The following is a 12,471-nucleotide window of genomic DNA, read 5'->3' on the forward strand; positions in this document are numbered from 1 at the left end:
GAGTTTGAGATGGAAGAAGAGAAGAACCAGCAACTACCTAGATAATGTAGAAAAAGCTGTTGGTAAAACTTTTATGTATTCATAGGTCAGGTTTCATTTTCATTATGATATCCAGGTTGCAGTGTCTAATATAATACTTTGGGGTCTCAAAGGTTTTTTTTTTTTCAAAGAAACATTCAGTAACTCTAGCTTTCATTTTATATAAAGTTGGCTTTTTAGGAACTTAGGAGAAACCAAGCAAACCTCAAAAGCATCTCTAAACCTTCTTTGCCTCCGGATAGTGTCCTGCCTCTGTGATACAAGGACACTGGAATACAGCACTTTCTCTAATCTATTTTAATACAATACAAATTTCCAACTCTCAGGCACAGCACCTCTTAGAGATTTCTCATATAAAAATATACTTTGTATGAATTCAAGACATAGGGCTGGATTCCCATCCTTTGTATCTCCAGGGGAAAACTTACTCATCAAATTTACTTAAACTGAATTTCCCTAGAGTTAGGAGAATGTGAATATGGCAAGTAGTAGTTTGTTCTCTTGCCTAAGAGTGTTCTAAATTTTTTTGGGACTTCATAATTTAAAACTCTTATTTAATCAATCTTCCTTTCTTTCTTCTTTTTTTTTCTCCGAGTCTCTCTCTGTCGCCCAGGCTGGAGTGCAGGGGTGGGATCTCCACTCACTGCAACTCCGCCTCCTGGGATCAAGCGATTCTCCTGCCTCAGCCTCCCGAGTAGCTGGGATTACAGGCATGCAACACCAGGCCCAGCTAATTTTAGTTTAGTTTAGTTTACTTTAGTTTAGGTTTTTTTTTTTTTTTTTTTTTTTGGTATCTTTTAGTAGAGACAGTGTTTCACAATGTTGGCTAGACTGGTCTCCAATCCCTGACCTCGTGATCCGCACGCCTCGGCTTCCCAAAGTGCTGGGATTACAGGCGTGAGCCATTGCACCTGGGCCCAGTTTTCTCTTCTAACATATTTCAGCTAAAGTCTGAGTCTTATGATTTTGTTTGCTTTAACTTTTATCAGTGGCTTTTTGGCATGCAGTCCTCTCTGCGGTATGACTGATGCTCTGAGCTGCAGGGTTATTTTTTTCTTTCTTTCCTAGTTAGTCCATATGTTGAGACAAATACTAGTAACAAGTAAAAGGAAATGATTGATTGATTTCTTTTTTCAGTAAACATAGAATTTTGATGTAATTTCTTATGAGAGAAAGAAAGGTAAGATCAGATTTTTTTTCTAAAAACTTATACTTAAAACAAAAAATTATATTTTACTTAAAATAAATTTCTGTTTATGTGGGAAGAACATAGCAGCAATTCAACTGTTCTTTGGTAAATAATTAAACTGATAAGAACAAAAAAAATGGCAACTCATTGAAAAAGACTAACCTCCCACTGCAATATTTTTAACTATATTGGCAGCTGCTATACATTATTCTCTAACTGAAACAATATTGCATGAAAAAATGTAGATTTTTAAAAGTAACAAATAGATAACTTTTCTGGGTGTGAAAAATGCTGTCATGGCATATAAACATATTTTAAGTTTTATTTTTTTTTTAGTTTGAGTTGTCTTTATCTCTGAATGTGTCATTATGTTTGTGTCTTACAAAGTAATGCACCCATCTCTTTCTGTAGACCAATTAACAGGTGATTAATTCAATCTATTAAGTGCTACTCTGTGACTAGTGCTGGTGCTGCTCTAATCAATTGGGATATATGAGTAGAACTATCAGTAAAATTAAAAAGATAGTCTCCTTTATGGAGCTTACAAGAGAGGATAGATAAGAGTTTTTTAGAAAACATGTAAGTTAAAAATAAGATATGACACTACTTAATAAGTACAATGGAAAACGATAAGGCAAGGAAGAGAAAATACGCAATTTTAAATAGGAAGATCAGAATTCATTTTATTGGAAAATTGATATTTGAGTCAGGACAAAGTAGATGAAGTAGATGCAGGTATGTGCAAGAAAAGCACTACAGGCAGAGTGAAAATCCGGTGTTAGCATTCCAAAGGACTTCCTGCTAAGTCCTTACTTAACACTGTCCATAGTTTCTTGGAAACTGTGACTTTAAGTGAAAAGATGTACAGCAGAGCATTAAAAAATTGATGAAAAAGTATATTGTCTTTGTTATATGTCATTTTGCTTAAAGTTGTAGTTTCCAATAACATATTAATGGCACTGAGGGAGGACTTACTCTATTGAAAACATTGAGAAGAGCAGTGTGGTTACAAAAATGACCAAGGAGAGAGAATTATGAAATAAAGTTGTCAAGATAGAAAGGTGAGGATCACATTGGGCTTTAGAGGCACTTTACGTATTTTGGCATTTTTATTGAGTGAAATGAGCTATTGTAGGATTTTGAACATTGGAGTGACACGATCTGACTTATATTTTCAATTTCACTGTGGCTGTGGTATTGAGAATAGACTATAGGTACAAGAATAGTATCCTTGTGGCCACTTAGAGGATGATTAATAATCCCTACGAGAAATGATGGTGACTTGTACACAGCTCTAGAAGTGGTGATGGAGAGAGTGGTCAGATTCTGTCAGTATTTTGAAACTGAGTCAAACATAGTAAGAAACGGTTTTTGGAGAATGGTGTAATAAACGTGTCAAGGAAAGCTCCACATTTTTTAAATTAAAAAGTGAAAAGTTGTGGTTGTCAAAAACTGAGATAAGAAAGGCAATGAAATGAGCAAATATTCAGGAGATGTCCAGAAATTAAATTATTTATGTGTTTAGTTTAAAACTTTTATCAGACATCATAGCAAACATGGAAAGTAGGTTCTTGCATATACAAGTGGGTGTATGGGAGAAAAGGCTGAGTTGGAAATAGAGTTGTGGATATCATTTGCATAGTGATTATATTTAAGGCCAGGGATTTAAATTATTTTACTAAGCCAGTGAGTACAGATAGAGAATAGGACCAAGGTTGAGCATTAGGTTCTTTTTTTCTTTTCTTTTCTTTCTTTTTTTTTTTTTTTTTTGAGATGAAGTCTCACTCTGTCACCCAGGCTGGAGTGTAGTGGTGCAATCCCGGCTCACTGCAACCTCTGCATCCCGGGTTCAGGTGACTCTCTTGCCTCAGCCTCCTGAGTAGCTGGGATTACAGGCAGGCACCACCATGTCCAGTTAATTTTTGTATTTTTAGTAGAGATGGGGTTTCACTATGTTTTCCAGGCTGGTTTTGAACTCCTGACCTGAAGTGATCCACCCGCCTCAGCCTCCCAAACTGCAGGGATTACAGGCATGAGCCACCGCACCCAGCCAGGTTCTTTCCTCATTAAGATAAGAAACAAACATTAGGAACAGCTCCGGTCTACAGCTCCCAGCTTGAGCAATGCAGAAGACAGGTGATTTCTGCATTTCCATCTGAGGTACCCGGTTCATCTCACTAGGGAGTGCCAGACAATGGGCGCAGGTCAGTGGGTGCACGCACGGTGCGCCAGCCGAAGCAGGGCGAGGCATTGCCTCACTTGGGAAGGGCAACAGGTCAGGGAGTTCCCTTTCTGAGTCAAAGAAAGGGGTGACAGACGGCACCTGGAAAATCGGGTCACTCCCACCCGAATACTGCGCTTTTCCGACGGGCTTAAAAAACGGCGCACCACGAGATTATATCCCGCACCTGGCTCAGAGGGTCCTACGCCCACGGAGTCTCGCTGATTGCTAGCACAGCAGTCTGAGATCAAACTGCAAGGCGGCAGTGAGGCTGGGGGAGGGGCACCCGCCATTGCCCAGGCTTGCTGGTAAACAGAGCAGCCAGGAAGCTCGAACTGGGTGGAGCCCACCACAGCTCAAGGAGGCCTGCCTGCCTCTGTAGGCTCCACCTCTGGGGGCAGGGCACAGACAAACAAAAAGACAGCAGTAACCTCTGCAGACTTAAATGTCCCTGTCTGACAGCTTTGAAGAGAGCAGTGGTTCTCCCAGCACGCAGCTGGAGATCTGAGAACAGGCAGACTGCCTCCTCAAGTGGGTCCCTGACCCCTGACCCCCGAGCAGCCTAACTGGGAGGCACCCCCCAGCAGGGGAACACTGACACCTCACACGTCAGGGTACTCCAACACACCTGCAGCTGAGGGTCCTCTCTGTTAGAAGGAAAACTAACAAACAGAAAGGACATCAACACCAAAAACCCATCTGTACATCACCATCATCAAAGACCAAAAGTAGATAAAACCACAAAGATGGGGAAAAAACAGAACAGAAAAACTGGAAACTCTAAAAATCAGAGCGCCTCTCCTCCTCCAAAGGAATACAGTTCCTCACCAGCAACGGAACAAAGCTGGATGGAGAATGACTTTGACGAGCTGAGAGAAGAAGTCTTCAGACGATCAAATTACTCTGAGCTACGGGAGGACATTCAAACCAAAGGCAAAGAAGTTGAAAACTTTGAAAAAAATTTAGAAGAATGTATAACTAGAATAACCAACAGAGAGAAGTGCTTAAAGGAGCTGATGGAGCTGAAAACCAAGGCTCGAGAACTACGTGAAGAATGCAGAAGCCTCAGGAGCCGATGTGATCAACTGGAAGGAAGGATATCAGCGATGGAAGATGAAATGAATGAAATGAAGCGAGAAGGGAAGTTTAGAGAAAAAAGAATAAAAAGAAATGAGCAAAACCTCCAAGAAATATGGGACTATGTGAAAAGACCAAATCTACGTCTGACTGGTGTACCTGAAAGTGATGGGGAGAATGGAACCAAGTTGGAAAACACTCTGCAGGATATTATCCAGGAGAACTTCCCCAATCTAGCAAGGCAGGCCAACGTTCAGATTCAGGAAATACAGAGAACGCCACAAAGATACTCCTTGAGAAGAGCAACTCCAAGACACATAATTGTCAGATTCACCAAAGTTGAAATGAAGTAAAAAATGTTAAGGGCAGCCAGAGAGAAAGGTCGGGTTACCCTCAAAGGGAAGCCCGTCAGACTAACAGTGGATCTCTCGGCAGAAACCCTACAAGCCAGAAGAGAGTGGGGGCCAATATTCAATATTCTTAAAGAAAAGAATTTTCAACCCACAATTTCATATCCAGCCAAACTAAGCTTCATAAGTGAAGGAGAAATAAAATACTTTACAGACAAGCAAATGCTGAGAGATTTTGTCACTACCAGGCCTGCCTTACAAGAGCTCCTGAAGGAAGCACTAAACATGGAAAGGAACAACTGGTACCAGGCGCTGCAAAATCATGCAAAAATGTACAGACCATCGAGACTAGGAAGAAACTGCATCAACTAACGAGCAAAATCACCAGCTAACATCATAATGACAGGATCAAATTCACACATAACAATATTAACTTTAAATGTAAATGGACTAAATGCTCCAATTAAAAGACACAGACTGTCAAATTGGATAAAGAGTCAAGACCCATCAGTGTGCTGTATTCAGGAAACCCATCTCACGTGCAGAGACACACATAGGCTCAAAATAAAAGGATGGAGGAAGATCTACCAAGCAAATGTAAAACAAAAAAAGGCAGGGGTTCCAATCCTAGTCTCTGATAAAACAGACTTTAAACCAACGAAGATCAAAAGAGACAAAGAAGGCCATTACATAATGGTAAAGGGATCAATTCAACAAGAAGAGCTAACTATCCTAAATATATATGCACCCAATACAGGAGCACCCAGATTCATAAAGCAAGTCCTGAGTGACCTACAAAGAGACTTAGACTCCCAAACATTAATAATGGGAGACTTTAACACCCCACTGTCAACATTAGACAGATCAACGAGACAGAAAGTCAGCAAGGATACCCAGGAATTGAACTCAGCTCTGCACCAAGTGGACCTAATAGACATCTACAGAACTCTCCACCCCAAATCAACAGAATATACATTTTTTTCAGCACCACACCACACCTATTCCAAAATTGACCACATACTGGGAAGTAAAGCTCTCCTCGGCAAAAGTAAAAGAACAGAAATTATAACAAACTATCTCTCAGACCACAGTGCAATCAAACTAGAACTCAGGATTAAGAATCTCACTCAAAACTGCTCAACTACATGGAAACTGAACAACCTGCTCCTGAATGACTACTGGGTACATAACGAAATGAAGGCAGAAATAAAGATGTTCTTTGAAACCAACGAGAACAAAGACACAACATACCAGAATCTCTGGGACACATTCAGAGCAGTGTGTAGAGGGAAATTTATAGCACTAAATGTCCACAAGAGAAAGCAGGAAAGATCCAAAATTGACACCCTAACATCACAATTAAAAGAACTAGAAAAGCAAGAGCAAACACATTCAAAAGCTAGCAGAAGCCAAGAAATAACTAAAATCAGAGCAGAACTGAAGGAAATAGAGACACAAAAAACCCTTCAAAAAATTAATGAATCCAGGAGCTGGTTTTTTGAAAGGATCAACAAAATAGATAGACCGCTAGCAAGACTAATAAAGAAAAAAAGAGAGAAGAATCAAATAGATGCAATAAAAAATGATAAAGGGGATGTCACCACCGATCCCACAGAAATACAAACTACCATCAGAGAATACTACAAACACCTCTACACAAATAAACTAGAAAATCTAGAAGAAATGGATAAACTCCTGGACACATACACTCTCCCAAGACCAAACCAGGAAGAAGTTGAATCTCTGAATAGACCAATAACAGGATCTGAAATTGTGGCAATAATCAATAGCTTACCAACCAAAAAGAGTCCAGGACCAGATGGATTCACAGCCGAATTCTACCAGAGGTACAAGGAGGAACTGGTACCATTCCTTCTGAAACTATTCCAATCAATAGAAAAAGAGGGAATCCTCCCTAACTCATTTTATGAGGCCAGCATCATTCTGATACCAAAGCCGGGCAGAGACACAACCAAAAAAGAGAATTTTAGACCAATATCCTTGATGAATATTGACGCAAAAATCCTCAATAAAATACTGGCAAAAGGAATCCAGCAGCACATCAAAAAGCTTATCCACCATGATCAAGTGGGCTTCATCCCTGGGATGCAAGGCTGGTTCAATATATGCAAATCAATAAATGTAATCCAGCATATAAACAGAGCCAAAGACAAAAACCACATGATTATCTCAATAGATGCAGAAAAAGCCTTTGACAAAATTCAACAACCCTTCATGCTAAAAACTCTCAATAAATTAGGTATTGATGGGACGTATTTCAAAATAATAAGAGCTATCTATGACAAACCCACAGCCAATATCATACTGAATGGGCAAAAACTGGAAGCATTCCCTTTGAAAACTGGCAGAAGACAGGGATGCCCTCTCTCACCACTCCTATTCAACATAGTGTTGGAAGTTCTGGCCAGGGCAATTAGGCAGGAGAAGGAAATAAAGGGTATTCAATTAGGAAAAGAGGAAGTCAAATTGTCCCTGTTTGCAGACGACATGATTGTATATCTAGAAAACCCCATTGTCTCAGCCCAAAATCTCCTTAAGCTGATAAGCAACTTCAGCAAAGTCTCAGGATACAAAATCAATGTACAAAAATCACAAGCATTCTTATACACCAGTAACAGACAGAGAGCCAAATCATGAGTGAACTCCATTCACAATTGCTTCAAAGAGAATAAAATACCTAGGAATCCAACTTACAAGGGATGTGAAGGACCTCTTCAAGGAGAACTATAAACCACTGCTCAAGGAAATAAAAGAGGATACAAACAAATGGAAGAACATTCCATGCTCATGGGTAGGAAGAATCAATATCGTGAAAATGGCCTTACTGCCCAAAGTAATTTACAGATTCAATGCCATCCCCATCAAGCTACCAATGACTTTCTTCACAGAATTGGAAAAAACTACTTTAAAGTTCATATGGAACCAAAAAAGAGCCCGCATCGCCAAGTCAATCCTAAGCCAAAAGAACAAAGCTGGAGGCATCACACTACCTGACTTCAAAGTATACTACAAGGCTACAGTAACCAAAACAGCATGGTACTGGTACCAAAACAGAGATATAGATCAATGGAACAGAACAGAGCCCTCAGAAATAACGCCGCATATCTACAACTATCTGATCTTTGACAAACTTGACAAAAACAAGCAATGGGGAAAGGATTCCCTATTTAATAAATGGTGCTGGGAAAACTGGCTAGCCATATGTAGAAAGCTGAAACTGGATCCCTTCCTTACACCTTATACAAAAATCAATTCAAGTTGGATTAAAGACTTAAACATTAGACTTAAAACCATAAAAACCCTAGAAGAAAACCTAGGCATTACCATTCAGGACATAGGCATGGGCAAGGACTTCACATCTAAAACACCAAAAGCAATGGCAACAGAAGCCAAAATTGACAAATGGGATCTAATTAAACTAAAGAGCTTCTGCACAGCAAAAGAAACTACCATCAGAGTGAATAGGCAACCTACAAAATGGGAGAAAGTTTTCGCAACCTACTCATCTGACAAAGGGCTAATATCCAGAATCTACAATGAACTCAAACAAATTTACAAGAAAAAAGCAAACAACCCCATCAAAAAGTGGGCAAAGGACATGAACAGACACTTCTCAAAAGAAGACATTTATGCAGCCAAAAAACACATGAAAAAATGCTCATCATCACTGGCCATAAGAGAAATGCAAATCAAAACCACAATGAGATACCATCTCACACCAGTTAGAATGGCAATCAATAAAAAGTCAGGAAACAACAGGTGCTGGAGAGGATGTGGAGAAATAGGAACACTTTTACACTGTTGGTGGGACTGTAAGCTAGTTCAACCATTGTGGAAGTCAGTGTGGCCATTCCTCAGGGATCTAGAACTGGAAATACCATTTGACCCAGCCATCCCATTACTGGGTATATACCCAAAGGACTATAAATCATGCTGCTATAAAGACACATGCACACGTATGTTTATTGCGGCATTATTCACAATAGCAAAGACTTGGAACCAACCCAAATGTCCAACAATGATAGACTGGATTAAGAAAATGTGGCACATATACACCATGGAATACTATGCAGCCATAAAAAATGATGAGTTCATGTCCTTTGTAGGGACATGGATGAAATGGGAAACCATCATTCTCAGTAAACTATCGCAAGAACAAAAAACCAAACACCGCATATTCTCACTCATAGGTGGGAATTGAACAATGAGATCACATGGACACAGGAAGGGGAATATCACACTCTGGGGACTGTTGTGGGGTGGCGGGAGGGGGGAGGGATAGCATCGGGAGATATACCTAATGCTAGATGACGAGTTAGTGGGTGCAGCGCACCAGCATGGCACATGTATACATATGTAACTAACCTGTACAATGTGCACATGTACCCTAAAACTTAAAGTATAATAAAAAAACAAAACAAAACAAAAAAAAAAAAGAAGAGAAAAAAACAGTCTTGCAGCGTGAGCAACAATGTACTAGAAAAACCAGGAGCCTGTGTTAACATGAAAACCAAGTGAGGAACGCTTTTCAGGAAGTAAGGTAGGGTCAACTTCATCAAATGCTACTTAATAAAAAAAAACAGAACTGATCATTGGCATTAGCAATGTAGGGCCAACAGTGACCCCGGCCAGAGCAGTTTCAATGTGAAGACGATATGGAGGCAATATATTGATTGGAGTGTGTTCTGGGTTGAATTGTGTCCCTCAAAAAGATGTTAAAATGCTAACATCCATTGTCTGTGAATGCGGCTTTATTTGGAAATTTTGTCTTTGCAGATGATCAAGTTAAGACGAGGGCATTAGAATAGGCCGTAATACAAAAGGACTATGTTCTTATTGAACAGAGAGACAGACACACATATAGGGAAGAAATGTGAAGACATAGATAGGGAGAATGCCATCTTTATAAGCCAAGGAACACCTGAGGCTACCAGAAGCTAGGAGAGAAGCATGGAACAGATTCCCCCTAATAGCCTTCTAGAGAAGCCAATGCTGCCATTACATCGGTCTCTGACTTCCAGCTACCGAACTGTGAGACAATAAACTTCTGTTTTTTAAGCCATCCAGTTGGAGGCACTTTGTTACCACCCCCAAGAAACATCCCAAGAAGCTAAAACAGAGCACATGTAAGAAAGTTTGAAAGAGGAATTGGTAACAGATTACAGTCCACACGTGGCAAATTTACAGGTATGGTTACAGAAGAAATTATTCACATGGTCTCTAGGCCCTTCACTGCAAGCATTTTCAATCCATTCATTTTCCAATAATTGTTTATTGATTGACAGTTATATACATTCAGCTTTGATAAATGCTGCAGTAGAGAGCTGAATTGCATGACCATGTTATGAGGCCCTCAGGGACTTAGAAACTTTTCTGTATTTTTCTATTTACGATCCGTTAAAAAAGTAACATCCTGCTTTCTGTGTATCCCCCGACCCCGACCCTACCAAGTCCCCTACTCTCTGACTCTGTCTCTTGCCTCTCTTTCCTTCACTCTGTTCTTAAATTACATCAGGTTTCATGCACGTGATGCTTTCTCTGACTAAAATGTTCTTATGCCAGGTACTACGTGGCTTCCTCTCTCCCTCCCTTCCTTTAGGCCTTAATTCAAATGGCATATTCATGGTGAGGTCTGCCCCTACCAGGGCCTACCAAAAATAATAACTTCCCTTCCCCTTCCAACCATGGGAATATAAGCAGGTAGAAATAGAAACAAATCAGTAGTAGAAGACTACAGGCAAGACAGAACAAATATACAGAGAGAAGTAATTATATGATATACATAGCAGCTAGATAGAATAAATGAGTAAATGTAATACATATATTTCAGTACATACATACATATATGTGAATGTATATACACATATAAATATATATTATAATTATATAATTATATATTTACTAGTATTAATATAAATTATATATTATACTTATTAAAATATAAGATAAATACTATTATATAATGTATTTTATATAAATAATTATATTATATTATTATAATATAATTATATATGTATTAATATATGTATGCGTATATACATTCATATATATTACATGTAATGTATGTACTGAAATCTAAAGCTATTTTCTTTTCAAGTCCTCAGAATGCGTTCACACACACACACACACACACACACACACACACACACAAATTGTATATTAGGCCACAAAATGAATCTTAGTAAAATTTTCCTCCCCTGCCAGATTCTATGTACCAAATAGATTGCTGGGGAGTGTGCAGCAGGTACCAGCTACCAGGAAGGTAGTGCTTTGTGATCACAACAGCAGCAACTCCCTTGTAACTACAAATTGAGAAGAGCAGGAACCTGACCAAGTTCTGTGTGTTTTTTCTGAAGCTCCATATTCTCCAGGTACCCAGACCAGTAGAACATAACTACAGCAGTGAAAAGGGAGGCTTCATTAAACAGTTACAAAATCTTGTTTTTTTTTTTAGTGAACTATATTAATTAGTGCTGAATGCTGGAAAGTAATTGCTTTGCATCTTGTTTTTTTTTTAACCTTAAACTTGTCAGATTGTTGCTTAGAATTAACATTATAAATTAGAAATGCTGATAAAATAGAAATCCTTAAAAAAATTAGTTAATAAAACTTGGTTTACAATGTTAGGTGATATCCCTTCATCTTGACTGAAAAAAAAAATATTGACAAAGCTCTGACCTTTTCTTCCTGTTGCCATAATGCCCCTAAGAAACCAGATCTATTGCTTTAGTGATTTTCAAAAACATTTTTAAAAATATAATAAATAGATTAGTAGAAAATATATTTGGTTATCCCAGACATTTACAAATTTGTAACCCATAGACCAACACAGGGATAAATCTGTCAAGTTAGCGCTGCCACTCATCAAACACAAGACAGGTTTTAGAGAAATTGATATCTGGAGGAAGAAAATTCCAAACTCCGTTACCACATGAAACTTTTGCTAGAAACAGGAAAGTTTCCTTTTGCTATAATTTGCAGTCATATTTGTGGCTTAGAAAATATCTAATTTTTTTACAATAGTATGTAACTTGTATGTAAACATAGCAATGGTTTTTAATATCTTTTTTTATGTGCTGAGGACTTGATTCCTTCCATTGCAGAAGAGGTCATATGGTAAACAGGCTGCACATATTATAAGGTTATATTACTGAGTGGTGGCCAGGATGCTTATTTCACCCTTGAGTCTTTCTGTGTTATTTTGGTCCTTCATCCCTATCATCAATTCTAGTCAGCAGGTTTTTGTCCTTCTCCCTAGGTAGTAACCTGACCAGAGAATAATCATTTTAAGCAAAGATCAAATTTAGTTGGAACTTAAATCACATCTGCCACTGTTGTCTAAACCATAATGGTATAGGTTAGCCAAAAAGAGTTGTAATTCAGCTTTTGAAGCTTGTCAGTTTATTTTTGGAATAAACTAGAAAGTTAATCACAAGTATATTTATGGGTACAATAATATATAGTTGCATGTCACAACATTTTAAATTGTATTTTGTTAAGAAAAGAACACTAGTTTTTGTTTGTTCATTTTTTTCTTAAGAATAATACTACTTATCTATTTGTACATAGAAAAA

At 38.5% G+C, this 12,471-nt stretch overlaps 1 annotated feature.

The window, feature by feature from the left end:
• Positions 3,034 to 3,574: an enhancer, noted in NCBI's record as "H3K27ac-H3K4me1 hESC enhancer chr4:66042049-66042589 (GRCh37/hg19 assembly coordinates)". NCBI's record gives its function as "activates a minimal SCP1, AML or CMV promoter by ChIP-STARR-seq in naive H9 embryonic stem cells {active_cell/tissue: H9 hESC(naive)}" and the evidence as "EXISTENCE:reporter gene assay evidence [ECO:0000049][PMID:30033119]".

This window comes from Homo sapiens, chromosome 4, assembly GCF_000001405.40.
Source record: "Homo sapiens chromosome 4, GRCh38.p14 Primary Assembly".
Lineage (NCBI taxonomy): Eukaryota > Metazoa > Chordata > Mammalia > Primates > Hominidae > Homo > Homo sapiens.